The sequence below is a fragment of the Homo sapiens genome, chromosome 19 (genome assembly GCF_000001405.40).
Source record: "Homo sapiens chromosome 19, GRCh38.p14 Primary Assembly".
In the NCBI taxonomy this organism is placed as follows: domain Eukaryota; kingdom Metazoa; phylum Chordata; class Mammalia; order Primates; family Hominidae; genus Homo; species Homo sapiens.
In genome coordinates this window covers 50112791-50136311 of record NC_000019.10, presented here as the reverse complement: position 1 = coordinate 50136311, position 23521 = coordinate 50112791, and the positions used below count along the sequence as shown (strand labels likewise).

At 45.3% G+C, this 23521-nt stretch overlaps 4 non-coding genes across 4 annotated transcripts; all 4 read left to right on the top strand.

The window, feature by feature from the left end:
- Nucleotides 1-2447: 2447 nt before the first annotated feature.
- Nucleotides 2448-2567, top strand: SNAR-B1 (small NF90 (ILF3) associated RNA B1). Its single transcript, NR_024231.1, has one exon. It is a non-coding gene; the product is annotated as a small NF90 (ILF3) associated RNA B1 (small nuclear RNA).
- A 5222-nt stretch (nt 2568-7789) lies between these two features.
- SNAR-A11 (small NF90 (ILF3) associated RNA A11) lies at nt 7790-7910 on the top strand. The gene has a single exon (NR_024225.1). It is a non-coding gene; the product is annotated as a small NF90 (ILF3) associated RNA A11 (small nuclear RNA).
- Nucleotides 7911-13117: 5207 nt separating this feature from the next.
- Nucleotides 13118-13238, top strand: SNAR-A10 (small NF90 (ILF3) associated RNA A10). The gene has a single exon (NR_024229.1). It is a non-coding gene; the product is annotated as a small NF90 (ILF3) associated RNA A10 (small nuclear RNA).
- A 5233-nt stretch (nt 13239-18471) lies between these two features.
- On the top strand, nt 18472-18592 carry SNAR-A9 (small NF90 (ILF3) associated RNA A9). Its single transcript, NR_024226.1, has one exon. It is a non-coding gene; the product is annotated as a small NF90 (ILF3) associated RNA A9 (small nuclear RNA).
- Nucleotides 18593-23521: the final 4929 nt, after the last annotated feature.

Sequence of the window (23521 nt, the reverse complement as noted above, 5' to 3'; positions counted from 1 at the left end):
TGATTTTTTAAAAAAATTATTTATTTATTATTTCTTCCATAAATTATGGGGTACAGGTGGTATTTGGTAACATAAGCTCTTTAGTGGTGATTTGTGATTTTGGTGCACCCATCACCTGAGCAGTATACACTACACCCTATTTGTTGTCTGTTATCCCTCGCCCCCGCCAACTCGTCCCCCTACGTCCCCAAAGTCCATTGTATCATTGTTACGCCTTTGCGTCCTCATAGCTTAGCTCCCACATATCAGTGAGAACATACGATGTTTGGCTTTCCATTCCTGAGTTACTTCACTTAGAATAATAGTCTCCGGTCTCATCCAGGTCACGGCAAATGCTGTTAATTCATACAAAGTTGATATTTTCGAAAGCACAAATAACATGGAAAGACCACTAGCTAGATTAATAAAGGAAAAAAGACAAGATCCAAATAAACACAATCAGAAATGACAGAGGTGACATTACCACTGACCCACAGACATACAAGAAACCCTGAGACTATTCCACATGCCTCTATGCACACAAACTAGAAAACTAGAAGAAATAGATAAATTCCTGGAAACATAAAACCTCTCAAGATTGAACCAGGAAGAAATGGAAACCCTGAACAAACCAACGATGAGTTCCAAAATTGAGTTAGTCATACAAGACCTACCAACCAGCACAAAAAACCTTAGACTAGACGGATTCACAGTCGAATTCTACCAGATGTGTAAAGAAAAGCCGGCACCAATCCTACTGAAATTATTCCACACAATTGAGGAGGAGCAACTGCTCTCTAACTCATTCTATGAAGTCAGAGTCATTCTGATACCGAAACCTGGCAGAGACACAACGAAAAAAGGAAAATAGGTAAAGTAATACATATGTTAATGATCTTGATTTAGCCATTCTACGGTATATACATATTTCAAAACAATATGTACATGATAAATATGTACAATTTGTCAATTAAAAATATATAAAAGGAAGAGGAAAAAATTCAACTGGCGCAGAATTTGAAAGGAGAAGATACAGAACAAACTCCAGTCTCTTCTTTATTCAACTATATATACACACATTCAATGGACCAGGAGCAGTGGCTCAAGCCTGTAATCACAGCACTTTGGGAGGTCAAGGCGGGCAGATCACCTGAGGTCGGGAGTTCGAGACCAGCCTGACCAACAGAGAGAAACCCCAGCTCTACTAAAAATACAAAATTAGCCGGGCATGGTGACGCATGCCTGTAATCCCAGCTACTCGGGAGGGTGAGGCAGGAGAATCGCTTGAACTCAAGAGGTGGAGGTTGTGGTGAGCCGAGATGGCACCATTGCACTCCAGCCTGGGAAACAAGAACGAAACTCAGTCTCAAAAAAAAAAAAAAAAAAAAAAAAGGATTTAATGAATGAATGATGAGACCGTTGGTGACATCTCCCACCTTCTCCCTCTCACTCCACTGCAGCCACACGGGGCTCCTCACTGTTCCCGTAGCAGCAGGCATGTGCCCCCACAGGGCCTCTGTACTGGCTGTTCCCACTGCCCGAACACCCTCATGCACCATCTGCACTGTCCAATACGGCCGCCTCTGGCCACACATGGCTACTGAGCAGTTGAACATGGCTGGTCCAAACCAAGATTTCCAAGACGTCGTATGGTAAAAAAATAACATAAAATCTTGCAAAAATGTTTCTATTGATTATGTTAAAATTATGATGTTTTAGGTATATTAGGTTAAATCAGCTATTTTATCAAAATGAATGTCACCTGTTTGTTTTTGCTTTTTTTTTTTTTTTTTTTTTTTTGAGATGGAGTCTCGCTCTGTCGCCCAGGCTAGAGTACAATGGCGTGGTCTCAGCTCACTGCATCACTGCAACCTCTACCTCCCAGGTTCAAGCGATTCTCCTACCTCACCCTCCCAAGTGACTGGGATTATAGGCGTGTGCCACCACACCCAGCTAATTTTTGTATTTTTGTAGAGACAGTGTTTCACCATGTTGGCCAGGCTGGTCTCGAACTGCTGACCTCGTGATCTACCTGCCTCGGCCTCCCAAAGTCCTGGGATTACAGGTGTGGGCCACTGTGCCGGCCATGTTTCTCGACTTCTGCTGGCAAGCATGTTCCAGTATTTGCATGGCTCCTAGCCCTCATCTCCATTTCTCTGCACAGATGTTACCTTCCCCATGAGGTCTGCCTTATACATGAGGCCTGTATTATAAAGTGCAACTGCCAATTCGCCAACCCCGTTGTTTCTTCTCTCCAGAACACTAGGCACCATCTGATCTACTATGCCTTTTCCTTATTGTCAGATACTGAACTCTCAGCTACAGTTCCCCTTCCTCCCTCCAGGGGGCGCCATGGAACGCAGGGCCCTCACTGGCCCTGGGGACTGGGTGACGTCAGGGGTGAGCCTCTGGTGATTGGCTCCCTCACCCTGCGTAAGATCAAAGGGCCTACAGGACAGCCCCGACACCCGGAGCCATTGTGGCTCCGGCCGGTTGCGCGGGCCCTCGGACCCTCAGGGTAGGCGAGGGTTCGAGGGCACGAGTTCGAGGCCAACCTGGTCCACATGGGTTGAAAAAAAAATTTTTTTATCGTTCCCAATATAACAACAAAACAGAAAGGGAGGACGCCTTGATAGGAAGAAATGACATCTTCCTAAGTGTTTTTAAATTACTTCAATGTATCTTTCTTTTTTTTTTTTGTTGGGAGACCGAGGCTTGCTCTGTTGCCCAGGCTGGAGTGCAGTGGTGTGATCTTGGCTCACTGCAACCTCCGCCTCGTCGGTTCAAGGGAGTCTCCTATCTCAGCCTCCTGAGTAGCTGGGATTACAGTCGCCTGCCAAGAGATGGGGTTTCGCCATGTTGACCAGGCTGGTCTTGAACACCTGGCCTCAAATGATCCACTCGCCTTGGTCTCCCAAAGTGGTAGGATGACAGGCGTGAGCCACCGCGCCCAGCCTCTTCTATTCTTTTAGAGACAGGGTCTCACTCTGTTGCCCAGGCTGGAGTGCATTGATGTGATGTGTGATCATAGCTCATTGCAGCCCTGACCATCCGAGCTCAAGCAATCCTTCTGCCTCAGCCTCCTGAGTAGCTGGGGCCGCAGATGTGCACCACTGCACCTGGCTAATTTTTAACCTTTTTGTGGAGCCAGAGTCTGTATAAAATAAAGTGTAAATAGTACCATAAATAAAGAATACATAGTACCATTTTATAGTAGTATAAAACGGACATTAGAAACTCTGGACTTAAAGGTTAAAAAAATACACAAAAGTAGTTCTCAAGTTCTAGAGACTTGGAGAATCCAGGAATCAACAATGTCGTGGAACTCCTACAGCCTTTCATAAAGAATGGCCCTCGAGGAAAGTGGAATTGTCAGTGGGCATTGTGTTCGTGCCTCAGCTAAACACGGCAGGAATTTATTTATAACCTAGTGTAACATCCTCGAGGCACTGTTCAATTATTCAAGCAATTGTAAAATTCTCCCAGTCTTAGAAAAGATACAGGTGTGTGTCCCTCTGCTGTGGCTGTGCACTGACGCTTCAGTAAAAGTTGCCGTCTAAAACCACCGGCCTGCCCTTGAATTGTTTTTTTTTTTTTTTTTTTCTTCTTTTGATTCTCAGCCTCACTCTATCACCCAGGCTGGAGTGCAGTGACACGATCTCTGCTCACTGCAACCTCCGCCTCCCGGGTTCAAGCGGTTCCCCTGCCTCAGCCTCCTGAATAGCTGGGATTACAGGCACCCGTCCCCATGCCCGGGTAATTTTTGTATATTTAGTAGAGATGGGGTTTCACCATGTTGGCCAGGCTGGTCTCGAACTCCTTACCTCAAGTGATCCATCCGCCTCAGCCTCCCAAAGTGCTGGGATTACAGGCGTGAGCCACTGCGCCCGGCTTCTTGAATTAGTTTCTAGGAGAAGCCAAGAACCCCCCCGGGCTAAGCCTCAATTTTGGGGCTCGCCTGTGCTGCATCAGCTTCACACGCAGAGAAGAGAGTGAAAGAGAAGGGAGAGCCGTCCTTTTGGGCTGCCTTGAAATAAAGGTTGACCCATGGGTTCATGTATTGTCATTCATTCTCATTTTCTCTTCCTCTCTTTCTCTCTCTCCCCTGCCCCTGAAGTTAGCTTTTCTAAACCCTACCTGGATAAGGATAAGAAATAGAAGGAGGGGACACTTTAGGATGCTACAAAATAAAATACAACAACAACAACAGCAACAAAAGGGGAAGAAACAAATCTGGCCACTGCACATTCCTCCTTGCCAACAAAAAGCCGTGGATGCAAAAAGCTGCCCTTCACTGCATAGACAGAACAGGGCGCGCTCGAGCTATGAATCTCGGAAATTACTCAAACCATCAGCCTCTGCAAGAAGCAAAGTGGACGGCCGGGCGCGGTGGCTCACTCCTGGAATCCCAGCACTTTGGGAGCCCGAGGTGGGCGGATCACGAGGTCAGGAGATCGAGACTGTTCTGGCTAAACCAGTGAAACCCCCTCTCTACTAAAAAAATAACAAAAGCGAAGTGCATCTCCCATAAACGAGGTACTGCAGGAAGAAAGCAGAAAATGAGACCCGAGTACACACATGCACGCGGGCGCGCGCACACACACACCAGAAGAAATGAACCAAGAGGAAAGGAAACATTTTCAAATAAGCATTTGGAGATGGGAAAAACACCTTGAAACAGAAATTCATAAAGTACAGAATTTTTTTTTAAGTTAAAAAAGGAACAATAATAGACAGAAAATGAATGAAAAATTAAATGTCATATCAGAAGTGAAGATAAATTAAAAGTGGTCAAAGGAGAAGAGATCTAAATGCAAACTTAAGAAGGGGCAATTTTTTTTTTTTTTTTTTTTTTTTTTGAGACGCAGCCTCACTCTGTCGCCCGGGCTGGAGTGCAGTGGCGTGATCTTGGCTCACTGAAACCTCTGCCTCCTGGATTCAAGCGATTCTCCTGCCTCAGCCTCCCAAGTGGCTGGGATTACAGGCATGAGCCACCATGCCCGGCCTAGAGTCATCATGGAAATTAAACAACCTGCTTCCAAATGACTTTTGGGTAAAGACTGAAATTAAGGCAGAAATAAAAAAATTATCTGAAACTAATGAAAACAAACATACAACATCCCAGAATCTCTGGGACACAGCTAGAACAGTGCTCAAAGGAAGTTTCTAGTGCTAAAGGGCTACACTAAGAAGCTAGAAAGATCTCAAATGAACCGCCTAACATCACACCTAGAGGAATTAGAAAAACAAGAGCAAATCAACCCCAAAGCTAGCAGAAGAAAAAAAAAAAACCAACATCGGAGCTGACCTGAATGAAATGGAGACGTAAAAAACCATACAAAAGATCAATGAAACCCAAAGTTGATTTTTTAAAAAAATTATTTATTTATTATTTATTCCATAAATTATTGGGGTACAGGTGGTGTGTGGTTACATAAGCTCTTTAGTGGTGATTTGTGATTTTGGTGCACCCATCACCTGAGCAGTATACACTACACCCTACTTGTTGTATTTTATCCCTCGCCCCCGCCAACTCGTCCCCCTAAGTCCCCAAAGTCCATTGTATCATTCTTACGCCTTTGCGTCCTCATAGCTTAGCTCCCACATATCAGTGAGAACATACGATGTTTGGTTTTCCATTCCTGAGTTACTTCACTTAGAATAACAGTCTCCGGTCTCATCCAGGTCACGGCAAATGCTGTTAATTCATACAAAGTTGATATTTTTGAAAGCATAAATAACATGGGAAGACCACTAGCTAGATTAATAAAGAAAAAAAGACAAGATCCAAATAAACACAATCAGAAATGACAAAGGTGACATTTCCACTGACCCAGAGATATACAAGAAACCCTGAGACTATTCCACATGCCTCTATGCACACAAACTAGAAAACTAGAAGAAATAGAGAAATTCCTGGAAACATAAAACCTCTCAAGATTGAACCAGGAAGAAATGGAAACCCTGAACAAACCAACGATGAGTTCCAAAATTGAGTTAGTCATACAAAACCTACCAACCAGCACAAAAAACCTTAGACTAGACGGATTCACAGTCGAATCCTACCAGATGTGTAAAGAAAAGGCGGCACCAATCCTACTGAAATTATTCCACACAATTGAGGAGGAGCAACTGCTCTCTAACTCATTCTATGAGGTCAGAGTCATTCTGATACCGAAACCTGGCAGAGACACAACGAAAAAAGGAAAATAGGTAAAGTAATACATATGTTAATGATCTTGATTTAGCCATTCTACGGTATATACATATTTCAAAACAATATGTACATGATAAATATGTACAATTTGTCAATTAAAAATATATAAAAGGAATAGGAAAAAATTCAAATGGCACAGAATTTGAAAGGAGAAGATACAGAACAAACTCCGGTGTCTTCTTTATTCAACTATATATACACACATTCAATGGACTGGGAGCAGTGGCTCAAGCCTGTAATCACAGCACTTTGGGAGGTCAAGGCGGGCAGATCACCTGAGGTCGGGAGTTCGAGACCAGCCTGACCAACAGGGAGAAACCCCAGCTCTACTAAAAATACAAAATTAGCCGGGCATGGTGGCGCATGCCTGTAATCCCAGCTACTCGGAAGGCTGAGGCAGGAGAATCGCTTGAACTCAAGAGGTGGAGGTTGTGGTGAGCCGAGATGGCACCATTGCACTCCAGCCTGGGCAACAAGAGCGAAACTCAGTCTCAAAAAAAGAAAAAAAAGGATTTAATGAATGAATGATGAGACTGTTGGTTACATCTCCCACCTTCTCCCTCTCACTCCACTGCAGCCACACGGGGCTCCTCACTGTTCCCGTAGCAGCAGGCATGTGCCCCCACAGGGCCTCTGTACTGGCTGTTCCCACTGCCCGAACACCCTCATGCACCATCTGCACTGTCCAATACGGCCGCCTCTGGCCACACATGGCTACTGAGCAGTTGAACATGGCTGGTCCAAACCAAGATTTCCAAGACGTCGTACGGTAAAAAATAACATAAAATCTTGCAAAAACGTTTCTATTGATTATGTTAAAATTATGATGTTTTAGGTATATTAGGTTAAATCAGCTATTTTATCAAAATGAATCTCACCTGTTTGTTTTTGCTTTTTTTTTTTTTTTTTTTTTTTTTTTTTTTTGAGATGGAGTCTCGCTCTGTCGCCCAGGCGAGAGTACAATGGCGTGGTCTCGGCTCACTGCATCACTGCAACCTCTACCTCCCAGGTTCAAGCGATTCTCCTACCTCACCCTCCCAAGTGGCTGGGATTACAGGCGTGTGCCACCACACCCAGCTAATTTTTGTATTTTTAGTAGAGACAGGGTTTCACCATGTTGGCCGGGCTGGTCTCGAACTGCTGACCTCGTGATCTACCTGCCTCGGCCTCCCAAAGTCCTGGGATTACAGGTGTGGGCCACTGCGCCGGCCATGTTTCTCGACTTCTGCTGGCAAGCATGTTCCAGTATTTGCATGGCTCCTAGCCCTCATCTCCATTTCTCTGCACAGATGTTACCTTCCCCATGAGGTCTGCCTTATACATGAGGCCTGTATTATAAACTGCAACTCCGCATTCCCCAACCCCGTTGTTTCTTCTCCCCAGAACACTAGGCACCATCTGATCTACTATGCCTTTTCCTTATTGTCAGATACTGAACTCTCAGATACAGTTCCCCTTCCTCCCTCCAGGGGGCGCCATGGAACGCAGGGCCCTCACTGGCCCTGGGGACTGGGTGACGACAGGGGGGAGCCTCTGGTGATTGGCTCCCTCACCCTGCGTAAGATCAAAGGGACTAAAGGACAGCCCCGACACCCGGAGCCATTGTGGCTCAGGCCGGTTGCGCCTGCCCTCGGGCCCTCACGGAGGCGGGGGTTCCAGGGCACGAGTTCGAGGCCAGCCTGGTCCACATGGGTCGGAAAAAAGGATTTTTTTTATCGTTCCCAATATAACGACAAAACATAAAGGGAGGACGCCTTGATAGGAAGAAATGACATCTTCCTAAGTGTTTTTAAATTACTTCCATGTGTCTTTTTTTTTTTTTTTTTTTTTTGGGGAGACCGAGCCTTGCTCTGTTGCCCAGGCTGGAGTGCAGTGGTGTGATCTTCGCTCACTGCAACCTCCGCCTCGTCGGTTCAAGGGAGTCTCCTATCTCAGCCTCCTGAGTAGCTGGGATTACAGTCGCCTGCCAAGAGATGGGGTTTCGCCATGTTGACCAGGCTGGTCTTGAACACCTGGCCTCAAATGATCCACTCGCCTTGGTCTCCCAAAGTGGTAGGATGACAGGCGTGAGCCACCGCGCCCAGCCTCTTCTATTCTTTTAGAGACAGGGTCTCACTCTGTTGCCCAGGCTGGAGTGCATTGATGTGATGTGTGATCATAGCTCATTGCAGCCCTGACCATCCGAGCTCAAGCAATCCTTCTGCCTCAGCCTCCTGAGTAGCTGGGGCCGCAGATGTGCACCACTGCACCTGGCTAATTTTTAACCTTTTTGTGGAGCCAGAGTCTGTATAAAATAAAGTGTAAATAGTACCATAAATAAAGAATACATAGTACCATTTTATAGTAGTATAAAACGGACATTAGAAACTCTGGACTTAAAGGTTAAAAAAATACACAAAAGTAGTTCTCAAGTTCTAGAGACTTGGAGAATCCAGGAATCAACAATGTCGTGGAACTCCTACAGCCTTTCATAAAGAATGGCCCTCGAGGAAAGTGGAATTGTCAGTGGGCATTGTGTTCGTGCCTCAGCTAAACACGGCAGGAATTTATTTATAACCTAGTGTAACATCCTCGAGGCACTGTTCAATTAGTCAAGCAATTGTAAAATTCTCCCAGTCTTAGAAAAGATACAGGTGTGTGTCCCTCTGCTGTGGCTGTGCACTGAGGCTTCGGTAAAGGTTGCCGTCTAAAACCACCGGCCGGCCCTTGAATTCTTTTTTTTTTTTTTTCAGACGGAGTCGCACTCTATCACCCAGGCTGGAGTGCAGTGACACGATCTCTGTTCACTGCAACCTCCGCCTCCCGGGTTCAAGCGATTCCCCTGCCTCAGCCTCCTGAACAGCTGGGATTACAGGCACCCGTCCCCATGCCCGGGTAATTTTTGTATATTTAGTAGAGATGGGGTTTCACCATGTTGGCCAGGCTGGTCTCGAACTCCTTACCTCAAGTGATCCATCCGCCTCAGCCTCCCAAAGTGCTGGGATTACAGGCGTGAGCCACTGCGCCCGGCTTCTTGAATTAGTTTCTAGGAGAAGCCAAGAACCCCCCCGGGCTAAGCCTCAATTTTGGGGCTCGCCTGTGCTGCATCAGCTTCACACGCAGAGAAGAGAGTGAAAGAGAAGGGAGAGCCGTCCTTTTGGGCTGCCTTGAAATAAAGGTTGACCCATGGGTTCATGTATTGTCATTCATTCTCATTTTCTCTTCCTCTCTTTCTCTCTCTCCCCTGCCCCTGAAGTTAGCTTTTCTAAACCCTACCTGGATAAGGATAAGAAATAGAAGGAGGGGACACTTTAGGATGCTACAAAATAAAATACAACAACAACAACAGCAACAAAAGGGGAAGAAACAAATCTGGCCACTGCACATTCCTCCTTGCCAACAAAAAGCCGTGGATGCAAAAAGCTGCCCTTCACTGCATAGACAGAACAGGGCGCGCTCGAGCTATGAATCTCGGAAATTACTCAAACCATCAGCCTCTGCAAGAAGCAAAGTGGACGGCCGGGCGCGGTGGCTCACTCCTGGAATCCCAGCACTTTGGGAGCCCGAGGTGGGCGGATCACGAGGTCAGGAGATCGAGACTGTTCTGGCTAAACCAGTGAAACCCCCTCTCTACTAAAAAAATAACAAAAGCGAAGTGCATCTCCCATAAACGAGGTACTGCAGGAAGAAAGCAGAAAATGAGACCCGAGTACACACATGCACGCGGGCGCGCGCACACACACACCAGAAGAAATGAACCAAGAGGAAAGGAAACATTTTCAAATAAGCATTTGGAGATGGGAAAAACACCTTGAAACAGAAATTCATAAAGTACAGAATTTTTTTTTAAGTTAAAAAAGGAACAATAATAGACAGAAAATGAATGAAAAATTAAATGTCATATCAGAAGTGAAGATAAATTAAAAGTGGTCAAAGGAGAAGAGATCTAAATGCAAACTTAAGAAGGGGCAATTTTTTTTTTTTTTTTTTTTTTTTTTGAGACGCAGCCTCACTCTGTCGCCCGGGCTGGAGTGCAGTGGCGTGATCTTGGCTCACTGAAACCTCTGCCTCCTGGATTCAAGCGATTCTCCTGCCTCAGCCTCCCAAGTGGCTGGGATTACAGGCATGAGCCACCATGCCCGGCCTAGAGTCATCATGGAAATTAAACAACCTGCTTCCAAATGACTTTTGGGTAAAGACTGAAATTAAGGCAGAAATAAAAAAATTATCTGAAACTAATGAAAACAAACATACAACATCCCAGAATCTCTGGGACACAGCTAGAACAGTGCTCAAAGGAAGTTTCTAGTGCTAAAGGGCTACACTAAGAAGCTAGAAAGATCTCAAATGAACCGCCTAACATCACACCTAGAGGAATTAGAAAAACAAGAGCAAATCAACCCCAAAGCTAGCAGAAGAAAAAAAAAAAACCAACATCGGAGCTGACCTGAATGAAATGGAGACGTAAAAAACCATACAAAAGATCAATGAAACCCAAAGTTGATTTTTTAAAAAAATTATTTATTTATTATTTATTCCATAAATTATTGGGGTACAGGTGGTGTGTGGTTACATAAGCTCTTTAGTGGTGATTTGTGATTTTGGTGCACCCATCACCTGAGCAGTATACACTACACCCTACTTGTTGTATTTTATCCCTCGCCCCCGCCAACTCGTCCCCCTAAGTCCCCAAAGTCCATTGTATCATTCTTACGCCTTTGCGTCCTCATAGCTTAGCTCCCACATATCAGTGAGAACATACGATGTTTGGTTTTCCATTCCTGAGTTACTTCACTTAGAATAACAGTCTCCGGTCTCATCCAGGTCACGGCAAATGCTGTTAATTCATACAAAGTTGATATTTTTGAAAGCATAAATAACATGGGAAGACCACTAGCTAGATTAATAAAGAAAAAAAGACAAGATCCAAATAAACACAATCAGAAATGACAAAGGTGACATTTCCACTGACCCAGAGATATACAAGAAACCCTGAGACTATTCCACATGCCTCTATGCACACAAACTAGAAAACTAGAAGAAATAGAGAAATTCCTGGAAACATAAAACCTCTCAAGATTGAACCAGGAAGAAATGGAAACCCTGAACAAACCAACGATGAGTTCCAAAATTGAGTTAGTCATACAAAACCTACCAACCAGCACAAAAAACCTTAGACTAGACGGATTCACAGTCGAATCCTACCAGATGTGTAAAGAAAAGGCGGCACCAATCCTACTGAAATTATTCCACACAATTGAGGAGGAGCAACTGCTCTCTAACTCATTCTATGAGGTCAGAGTCATTCTGATACCGAAACCTGGCAGAGACACAACGAAAAAAGGAAAATAGGTAAAGTAATACATATGTTAATGATCTTGATTTAGCCATTCTACGGTATATACATATTTCAAAACAATATGTACATGATAAATATGTACAATTTGTCAATTAAAAATATATAAAAGGAATAGGAAAAAATTCAAATGGCACAGAATTTGAAAGGAGAAGATACAGAACAAACTCCGGTGTCTTCTTTATTCAACTATATATACACACATTCAATGGACTGGGAGCAGTGGCTCAAGCCTGTAATCACAGCACTTTGGGAGGTCAAGGCGGGCAGATCACCTGAGGTCGGGAGTTCGAGACCAGCCTGACCAACAGGGAGAAACCCCAGCTCTACTAAAAATACAAAATTAGCCGGGCATGGTGGCGCATGCCTGTAATCCCAGCTACTCGGAAGGCTGAGGCAGGAGAATCGCTTGAACTCAAGAGGTGGAGGTTGTGGTGAGCCGAGATGGCACCATTGCACTCCAGCCTGGGCAACAAGAGCGAAACTCAGTCTCAAAAAAAGAAAAAAAAGGATTTAATGAATGAATGATGAGACTGTTGGTTACATCTCCCACCTTCTCCCTCTCACTCCACTGCAGCCACACGGGGCTCCTCACTGTTCCCGTAGCAGCAGGCATGTGCCCCCACAGGGCCTCTGTACTGGCTGTTCCCACTGCCCGAACACCCTCATGCACCATCTGCACTGTCCAATACGGCCGCCTCTGGCCACACATGGCTACTGAGCAGTTGAACATGGCTGGTCCAAACCAAGATTTCCAAGACGTCGTACGGTAAAAAATAACATAAAATCTTGCAAAAACGTTTCTATTGATTATGTTAAAATTATGATGTTTTAGGTATATTAGGTTAAATCAGCTATTTTATCAAAATGAATCTCACCTGTTTGTTTTTGCTTTTTTTTTTTGTTTGTTTGTTTTTGAGATGGAGTCTCGCTCTGTCGCCCAGGCGAGAGTACAATGGCGTGGTCTCGGCTCACTGCATCACTGCAACCTCTACCTCCCAGGTTCAAGCGATTCTCCTACCTCACCCTCCCAAGTGGCTGGGATTACAGGCGTGTGCCACCACACCCAGCTAATTTTTGTATTTTTAGTAGAGACAGGGTTTCACCATGTTGGCCGGGCTGGTCTCGAACTGCTGACCTCGTGATCTACCTGCCTCGGCCTCCCAAAGTCCTGGGATTACAGGTGTGGGCCACTGCGCCGGCCATGTTTCTCGACTTCTGCTGGCAAGCATGTTCCAGTATTTGCATGGCTCCTAGCCCTCATCTCCATTTCTCTGCACAGATGTTACCTTCCCCATGAGGTCTGCCTTATACATGAGGCCTGTATTATAAACTGCAACTCCGCATTCCCCAACCCCGTTGTTTCTTCTCCCCAGAACACTAGGCACCATCTGATCTACTATGCCTTTTCCTTATTGTCAGATACTGAACTCTCAGATACAGTTCCCCTTCCTCCCTCCAGGGGGCGCCATGGAACGCAGGGCCCTCACTGGCCCTGGGGACTGGGTGACGACAGGGGGGAGCCTCTGGTGATTGGCTCCCTCACCCTGCGTAAGATCAAAGGGACTAAAGGACAGCCCCGACACCCGGAGCCATTGTGGCTCAGGCCGGTTGCGCCTGCCCTCGGGCCCTCACGGAGGCGGGGGTTCCAGGGCACGAGTTCGAGGCCAGCCTGGTCCACATGGGTCGGAAAAAAGGATTTTTTTTATCGTTCCCAATATAACGACAAAACATAAAGGGAGGACGCCTTGATAGGAAGAAATGACATCTTCCTAAGTGTTTTTAAATTACTTCCATGTGTCTTTTTTTTTTTTTTTTTTTTTTGGGGAGACCGAGCCTTGCTCTGTTGCCCAGGCTGGAGTGCAGTGGTGTGATCTTCGCTCACTGCAACCTCCGCCTCGTCGGTTCAAGGGAGTCTCCTATCTCAGCCTCCTGAGTAGCTGGGATTACAGTCGCCTGCCAAGAGATGGGGTTTCGCCATGTTGACCAGGCTGGTCTTGAACACCTGGCCTCAAATGATCCACTCGCCTTGGTCTCCCAAAGTGGTAGGATGACAGGCGTGAGCCACCGCGCCCAGCCTCTTCTATTCTTTTAGAGACAGGGTCTCACTCTGTTGCCCAGGCTGGAGTGCATTGATGTGATGTGTGATCATAGCTCATTGCAGCCCTGACCATCCGAGCTCAAGCAATCCTTCTGCCTCAGCCTCCTGAGTAGCTGGGGCCGCAGATGTGCACCACTGCACCTGGCTAATTTTTAACCTTTTTGTGGAGCCAGAGTCTGTATAAAATAAAGTGTAAATAGTACCATAAATAAAGAATACATAGTACCATTTTATAGTAGTATAAAACGGACATTAGAAACTCTGGACTTAAAGGTTAAAAAAATACACAAAAGTAGTTCTCAAGTTCTAGAGACTTGGAGAATCCAGGAATCAACAATGTCGTGGAACTCCTACAGCCTTTCATAAAGAATGGCCCTCGAGGAAAGTGGAATTGTCAGTGGGCATTGTGTTCGTGCCTCAGCTAAACACGGCAGGAATTTATTTATAACCTAGTGTAACATCCTCGAGGCACTGTTCAATTATTCAAGCAATTGTAAAATTCTCCCAGTCTTAGAAAAGATACAGGTGTGTGTCCCTCTGCTGTGGCTGTGCACTGAGGCTTCGGTAAAGGTTGCCGTCTAAAACCACCGGCCGGCCCTTGAATTCTTTTTTTTTTTTTTCAGACGGAGTCGCACTCTATCACCCAGGCTGGAGTGCAGTGACACGATCTCTGTTCACTGCAACCTCCGCCTCCCGGGTTCAAGCGATTCCCCTGCCTCAGCCTCCTGAACAGCTGGGATTACAGGCACCCGTCCCCATGCCCGGGTAATTTTTGTATATTTAGTAGAGATGGGGTTTTCAGCATGTTGGCCAGGCTGGTCTCGAACTCCTTACCTCAAGTGATCCATCCGCCTCAGCCTCCCAAAGTGCTGGGATTACAGGCGTGAGCCACTGCGCCCGGCTTCTTGAATTAGTTTCTAGGAGAAGCCAAGAACCCCCCCGGGCTAAGCCTCAATTTTGGGGCTCGCCTGTGCTGCATCAGCTTCACACCTAGAGAAGAGAGTGAAAGAGAAGGGAGAGCCGTCCTTTTGGGCTGCCTTGAAATAAAGGTTGACCCATGGGTTCATGTATTGTCATTCATTCTCATTTTCTCTTCCTCTCTTTCTCTCTCTCCCCTGCCCCTGAAGTTAGCTTTTCTAAACCCTACCTGGATAAGGATAAGAAATAGAAGGAGGGGACACTTTAGGATGCTACAAAATAAAATACAACAACAACAACAATAACAGCAGCAGCAACAACAACAACAGCAACAAAAGGGGAAGAAACAAATCTGGCCACTGCACATTCCTCCTTGCCAACAAAAAGCCGTGGATGCAAAAAGCTGCCCTTCACTGCATAGACAGAACAGGGCGCGCTCGAGCTATGAATCTCGGAAATTACTCAAACCATCAGCCTCTGCAAGAAGCAAAGTGGACGGCCGGGCGCGGTGGCTCACTCCTGGAATCCCAGCACTTTGGGAGCCCGAGGTGGGCGGATCACGAGGTCAGGAGATCGAGACTGTTCTGGCTAAACCAGTGAAACCCCCTCTCTACTAAAAAAATAACAAAAGCGAAGTGCATCTCCCATAAACGAGGTACTGCAGGAAGAAAGCAGAAAATGAGACCCGAGTACACACATGCACGCGGGCGCGCGCACACACACACCAGAAGAAATGAACCAAGAGGAAAGGAAACATTTTCAAATAAGCATTTGGAGATGGGAAAAACACCTTGAAACAGAAATTCATAAAGTACATAATTTTTTTTTAAGTTAAAAAAGGAACAATAATAGACAGAAAATGAATGAAAAATTAAATGTCATATCAGAAGTGAAGATAAATTAAAAGTGGTCAAAGGAGAAGAGATCTAAATGCAAACTTAAGAAGGGGCAATTTTTTTTTTTTTTTTTTTTTTTTGAGACGCAGCCTCACTCTGTCGCCCGGGCTGGAGTGCAGTGGCGTGATCTTGGCTCACTGAAACCTCTGCCTCCTGGATTCAAGCGATTCTCCTGCCTCAGCCTCCCAAGTGGCTGGGATTACAGGCATGAGCCACCATGCCCGGCCTAGAGTCATCATGGAAATTAAACAACCTGCTTCCAAATGACTTTTGGGTAAAGACTGAAATTAAGGCAGAAATAAAAAAATTATCTGAAACTAATGAAAACAAACATACAACATCCCAGAATCTCTGGGACACAGCTAGAACAGTGCTCAAAGGAAGTTTCTAGTGCTAAAGGGCTACACTAAGAAGCTAGAAAGATCTCAAATGAACCGCCTAACATCACACCTAGAGGAATTAGAAAAACAAGAGCAAATCAACCCCAAAGCTAGCAGAAGAAAAAAAAAAACCAACATCGGAGCTGACCTGAATGAAATGGAGACGTAAAAAACCATACAAAAGATCAATGAAACCCAAAGTTGATTTTTTAAAAAAATTATTTATTTATTATTTATTCCATAAATTATTGGGGTACAGGTGGTGTGTGGTTACATAAGCTCTTTAGTGGTGATTTGTGATTTTGGTGCACCCATCACCTGAGCAGTATACACTACACCCTACTTGTTGTATTTTATCCCTCGCCCCCGCCAACTCGTCCCCCTAAGTCCCCAAAGTCCATTGTATCGTTCTTACGCCTTTGCGTCCTCATAGCTTAGCTCCCACATATCAGTGAGAACATACGATGTTTGGTTTTCCATTCCTGACTTACTTCACTTAGAATAACAGTCTCCGGTCTCATCCAGGTCACGGCAAATGCTGTTAATTCATACAAAGTTGATATTTTTGAAAGCATAAATAACATGGGAAGACCACTAGCTAGATTAATAAAGAAAAAAAGACAAGATCCAAATAAACACAATCAGAAATGACAAAGGTGACATTACCACTGACCCACAGATATACAAGAAACCCTGAGACTATTCCACATGCCTCTATGCACACAAACTAGAAAACTAGAAGAAATAGAGAAATTCCTGGAAACATAAAACCTCTCAAGATTGAACCAGGAAGAAATGGAAACCCTGAACAAACCAACGATGAGTTCCAAAATTGAGTTAGTCATACAAAACCTACCAACCAGCACAAAAAACCTTAGACTAGACGGATTCACAGTCGAATCCTACCAGACGTGTAAAGAAAAGGCGGCACCAATCCTACTGAAATTATTCCACACAATTGAGGAGGAGCAACTGCTCTCTAACTCATTCTATGAGGTCAGAGTCATTCTGATACCGAAACCTGGCAGAGACACAACGAAAAAAGGAAAATAGGTAAAGTAATACATATGTTAATGATCTTGATTTAGCCATTCTACGGTATATACATATTTCAAAACAATATGTACATGATAAATATGTACAATTTGTCAATTAAAAATATATAAAAGGAATAGGAAAAAATTCAAATGGCACAGAATTTGAAAGGAGAAGATACAGAACAAACTCCGGTGTCTTCTTTATTCAACTATATATACACACATTCAATGGACTGGGAGCAGTGGCTCAAGCCTGTAATCACAGCACTTTGGGAGGTCAAGGCGGGCAGATCACCTGAGGTCGGGAGTTCGAGACCAGCCTGACCAACAGGGAGAAACCCCAGCTCTACTAAAAATACAAAATTAGCCGGGCATGGTGGCGCATGCCTGTAATCCCAGCTACTCGGAAGGCTGAGGCAGGAGAATCGCTTGAACTCAAGAGGTGGAGGTTGTGGTGAGCCGAGATGGCACCATTGCACTCCAGCCTGGGCAACAAGAGCGAAACTCAGTCTCAAAAAAAGAAAAAAAAGGATTTAATGAATGAATGATGAGACTGTTGGTTACATCTCCCACCTTCTCCCTCTCACTCCACTGCAGCCACACGGGGCTCCTCACTGTTCCCGTAGCAGCAGGCATGTGCCCCCACAGGGCCTCTGTACTGGCTGTTCCCACTGCCCGAACACCCTCATGCACCATCTGCACTGTCCAATACGGCCGCCTCTGGCCACACATGGCTACTGAGCAGTTGAACATGGCTGGTCCAAACCAAGATTTCCAAGACGTCGTATGGTAAAAAATAACATAAAATCTTGCAAAAATGTTTCTATTGATTATGTTAAAATTATGATGTTTTAGGTATATTAGGTTAAATCAGCTATTTTATCAAAATGAATCTCACCTGTTTGTTTTTGCTTTTTTTTTTTTTTTTTTTTTTTTTTTGAGATGGAGTCTCGCTCTGTCGCCCAGGCGAGAGTACAATGGCGTGGTCTCGGCTCACTGCATCACTGCAACCTCTACCTCCCAGGTTCAAGCGATTCTCCTACCTCACCCTCCCAAGTGGCTGGGATTACAGGCGTGTGCCACCACACCCAGCTAATTTTTGTATTTTTAGTAGAGACAGGGTTTCACCATGTTGGCCGGGCTGGTCTCGAACTGCTGACCTCGTGATCTACCTGCCTCGGCCTCCCAAAGTCCTGGGATTACAGGTGTGGGCCACTGCGCCGGCCATGTTTCTCGACTTCTGCTGGCAAGCATGTTCCAGTATTTGCATGGCTCCTAGCCCTCATCTCCATTTCTCTGCACAGATGTTACCTTCCCCATGAGGTCTGCCTTATACATGAGGCCTGTATTATAAACTGCAACTCCGCATTCCCCAACCCCGTTGTTTCTTCTCCCCAGAACACTAGGCACCATCTGATCTACTATGCCTTTTCCTTATTGTCAGATACTGAACTCTCAGATACAGTTCCCCTTCCTCCCTCCAGGGGGCGCCATGGAACGCAGGGCCCTCACTGGCCCTGGGGACTGGGTGACGACAGGGGGGAGCCTCTGGTGATTGGCTCCCTCACCCTGCGTAAGATCAAAGGGACTAAAGGACAGCCCCGACACCCGGAGCCATTGTGGCTCAGGCCGGTTGCGCCTGCCCTCGGGCCCTCACGGAGGCGGGGGTTCCAGGGCACGAGTTCGAGGCCAGCCTGGTCCACATGGGTCGGAAAAAAGGATTTTTTTTATCGTTCCCAATATAACGACAAAACATAAAGGGAGGACGCCTTGATAGGAAGAAATGACATCTTCCTAAGTGTTTTTAAATTACTTCCATGTGTCTTTTTTTTTTTTTTTTTTTTGGGAGACCGAGCCTTGCTCTGTTGCCCAGGCTGGAGTGCAGTGGTGTGATCTTCGCTCACTGCAACCTCCGCCTCGTCGGTTCAAGGGAGTCTCCTATCTCAGCCTCCTGAGTAGCTGGGATTACAGTCGCCTGCCAAGAGATGGGGTTTCGCCATGTTGACCAGGCTGGTCTTGAACACCTGGCCTCAAATGATCCACTCGCCTTGGTCTCCCAAAGTGGTAGGATGACAGGCGTGAGCCACCGCGCCCAGCCTCTTCTATTCTTTTAGAGACAGGGTCTCACTCTGTTGCCCAGGCTGGAGTGCATTGATGTGATGTGTGATCATAGCTCATTGCAGCCCTGACCATCCGAGCTCAAGCAATCCTTCTGCCTCAGCCTCCTGAGTAGCTGGGGCCGCAGATGTGCACCACTGCACCTGGCTAATTTTTAACCTTTTTGTGGAGCCAGAGTCTGTATAAAATAAAGTGTAAATAGTACCATCAATAAAGAATACATAGTACCATTTTATAGTAGTATAAAACGGACATTAGAAACTCTGAACTTAAAGGTTAAAAAAATACACAAAAGTAGTTCTCAAGTTCTAGAGACTTGGAGAATCCAGGAATCAACAATGTCGTGGAACTCCTACAGCCTTTCATAAAGAATGGCCCTCGAGGAAAGTGGAATTGTCAGTGGGCATTGTGTTCGTGCCTCAGCTAAACACGGCAGGAATTTATTTATAACCTAGTGTAACATCCTCGAGGCACTGTTCAATTAGTCAAGCAATTGTAAAATTCTCCCAGTCTTAGAAAAGATACAGGTGTGTGTCCCTCTGCTGTGGCTGTGCACTGAGGCTTCGGTAAAGGTTGCCGTCTAAAACCACCGGCCGGCCCTTGAATTCTTTTTTTTTTTTTTTCAGACGGAGTCGCACTCTATCACCCAGGCTGGAGTGCAGTGACACGATCTCTGTTCACTGCAACCTCCGCCTCCCGGGTTCAAGCGATTCCCCTGCCTCAGCCTCCTGAACAGCTGGGATTACAGGCACCCGTCCCCATGCCCGGGTAATTTTTGTATATTTAGTAGAGATGGGGTTTTCAGCATGTTGGCCAGGCTGGTCTCGAACTCCTTACCTCAAGTGATCCATCCGCCTCAGCCTCCCAAAGTGCTGGGATTACAGGCGTGAGCCACTGCGCCCGGCTTCTTGAATTAGTTTCTAGGAGAAGCCAAGAACCCCCCCGGGCTAAGCCTCAATTTTGGGGCTCGCCTGTGCTGCATCAGCTTCACACCTAGAGAAGAGAGTGAAAGAGAAGGGAGAGCCGTCCTTTTGGGCTGCCTTGAAATAAAGGTTGACCCATGGGTTCATGTATTGTCATTCATTCTCATTTTCTCTTCCTCTCTTTCTCTCTCTCCCCTGCCCCTGAAGTTAGCTTTTCTAAACCCTACCTGGATAAGGATAAGAAATAGAAGGAGGGGACACTTTAGGATGCTACAAAATAAAATACAACAACAACAACAATAACAGCAGCAGCAACAACAACAACAGCAACAAAAGGGGAAGAAACAAATCTGGCCACTGCACATTCCTCCTTGCCAACAAAAAGCCGTGGATGCAAAAAGCTGCCCTTCACTGCATAGACAGAACAGGGCGCGCTCGAGCTATGAATCTCGGAAATTACTCAAACCATCAGCCTCTGCAAGAAGCAAAGTGGACGGCCGGGCGCGGTGGCTCACTCCTGGAATCCCAGCACTTTGGGAGCCCGAGGTGGGCGGATCACGAGGTCAGGAGATCGAGACTGTTCTGGCTAAACCAGTGAAACCCCCTCTCTACTAAAAAAATAACAAAAGCGAAGTGCATCTCCCATAAACGAGGTACTGCAGGAAGAAAGCAGAAAATGAGACCCGAGTACACACATGCACGCGGGCGCGTGCACACACACACCAGAAGAAATGAACCAAGAGGAAAGGAAACATTTTCAAATAAGCATTTGGAGATGGGAAAAACACCTTGAAACAGAAATTCATAAAGTACAGAATTTTTTTTAAGTTAAAAAAGGAACAATAATAGACAGAAAATGAATGAAAAATTAAATGTCATATCAGAAGTGAAGATAAATTAAAAGTGGTCAAAGGAGAAGAGATCTAAATGCAAACTTAAGAAGGGGCAATTTTTTTTTTTTTTTTTTTTTTTGAGACGCAGCCTCACTCTGTCGCCCGGGCTGGAGTGCAGTGGCGTGATCTTGGCTCACTGAAACCTCTGCCTCCTGGATTCAAGCGATTCTCCTGCCTCAGCCTCCCAAGTGGCTGGGATTACAGGCATGAGCCACCATGCCCGGCCTAGAGTCATCATGGAAATTAAACAACCTGCTTCCAAATGACTTTTGGGTAAAGACTGAAATTAAGGCAGAAATAAAAAAATTATCTGAAACTAATGAAAACAAACATACAACATCCCAGAATCTCTGGGACACAGCTAGAACAGTGCTCAAAGGAAGTTTCTAGTGCTAAAGGGCTACACTAAGAAGCTAGAAAGATCTCAAATGAACCGCCTAACATCACACCTAGAGGAATTAGAAAAACAAGAGCAAATCAACCCCAAAGCTAGCAGAAGAAAAAAAAAAACCAACATCGGAGCTGACCTGAATGAAATGGAGACGTAAAAAACCATACAAAAGATCAATGAAACCCAAAGTTGATTTTTTAAAAAAATTATTTATTTATTATTTATTCCATAAATTATTGGGGTACAGGTGGTGTGTGGTTACATAAGCTCTTTAGTGGTGATTTGTGATTTTGGTGCACCCATCACCTGAGCAGTATACACTACACCCTACTTGTTGTATTTTATCCCTCGCCCCCGCCAACTCGTCCCCCTAAGTCCCCAAAGTCCATTGTATCATTCTTACGCCTTTGCGTCCTCATAGCTTAGCTCCCACATATCAGTGAGAACATACGATGTTTGGTTTTCCATTCCTGACTTACTTCACTTAGAATAACAGTCTCCGGTCTCATCCAGGTCACGGCAAATGCTGTTAATTCATACAAAGTTGATATTTTTGAAAGCATAAATAACATGGGAAGACCACTAGCTAGATTAATAAAGAAAAAAAGACAAGATCCAAATAAACACAATCAGAAATGACAAAGGTGACATTACCACTGACCCACAGATATACAAGAAACCCTGAGACTATTCCACATGCCTCTATGCACACAAACTAGAAAACTAGAAGAAATAGAGAAATTCCTGGAAACATAAAACCTCTCAAGATTGAACCAGGAAGAAATGGAAACCCTGAACAAACCAACGATGAGTTCCAAAATTGAGTTAGTCATACAAAACCTACCAACCAGCACAAAAAACCTTAGACTAGACGGATTCACAGTCGAATCCTACCAGACGTGTAAAGAAAAGGCGGCACCAATCCTACTGAAATTATTCCACACAATTGAGGAGGAGCAACTGCTCTCTAACTCATTCTATGAGGTCAGAGTCATTCTGATACCGAAACCTGGCAGAGACACAACGAAAAAAGGAAAATAGGTAAAGTAATACATATGTTAATGATCTTGATTTAGCCATTCTACGGTATATACATATTTCAAAACAATATGTACATGATAAATATGTACAATTTGTCAATTAAAAATATATAAAAGGAATAGGAAAAAATTCAAATGGCACAGAATTTGAAAGGAGAAGATACAGAACAAACTCCGGTGTCTTCTTTATTCAACTATATATACACACATTCAATGGACTGGGAGCAGTGGCTCAAGCCTGTAATCACAGCACTTTGGGAGGTCAAGGCGGGCAGATCACCTGAGGTCGGGAGTTCGAGACCAGCCTGACCAACAGGGAGAAACCCCAGCTCTACTAAAAATACAAAATTAGCCGGGCATGGTGGCGCATGCCTGTAATCCCAGCTACTCGGAAGGCTGAGGCAGGAGAATCGCTTGAACTCAAGAGGTGGAGGTTGTGGTGAGCCGAGATGGCACCATTGCACTCCAGCCTGGGCAACAAGAGCGAAACTCAGTCTCAAAAAAAGAAAAAAAAGGATTTAATGAATGAATGATGAGACTGTTGGTTACATCTCCCACCTTCTCCCTCTCACTCCACTGCAGCCACACGGGGCTCCTCACTGTTCCCGTAGCAGCAGGCATGTGCCCCCACAGGGCCTCTGTACTGGCTGTTCCCACTGCCCGAACACCCTCATGCACCATCTGCACTGTCCAATACGGCCGCCTCTGGCCACACATGGCTACTGAGCAGTTGAACATGGCTGGTCCAAACCAAGATTTCCAAGACGTCGTATGGTAAAAAATAACATAAAATCTTGCAAAAATGTTTCTATTGATTATGTTAAAATTATGATGTTTTAGGTATATTAGGTTAAATCAGCTATTTTATCAAAATGAATCTCACCTGTTTGTTTTTGCTTTTTTTTTTTTTTTTTTTTTTTTTTTTTGAGATGGAGTCTCGCTCTGTCGCCCAGGCGAGAGTACAATGGCGTGGTCTCGGCTCACTGCATCACTGCAACCTCTACCTCCCAGGTTCAAGCGATTCTCCTACCTCACCCTCCCAAGTGGCTGGGATTACAGGCGTGTGCCACCACACCCAGCTAATTTTTGTATTTTTAGTAGAGACAGGGTTTCACCATGTTGGCCGGGCTGGTCTCGAACTGCTGACCTCGTGATCTACCTGCCTCGGCCTCCCAAAGTCCTGGGATTACAGGTGTGGGCCACTGCGCCGGCCATGTTTCTCGACTTCTGCTGGCAAGCATGTTCCAGTATTTGCATGGCTCCTAGCCCTCATCTCCATTTCTCTGCACAGAT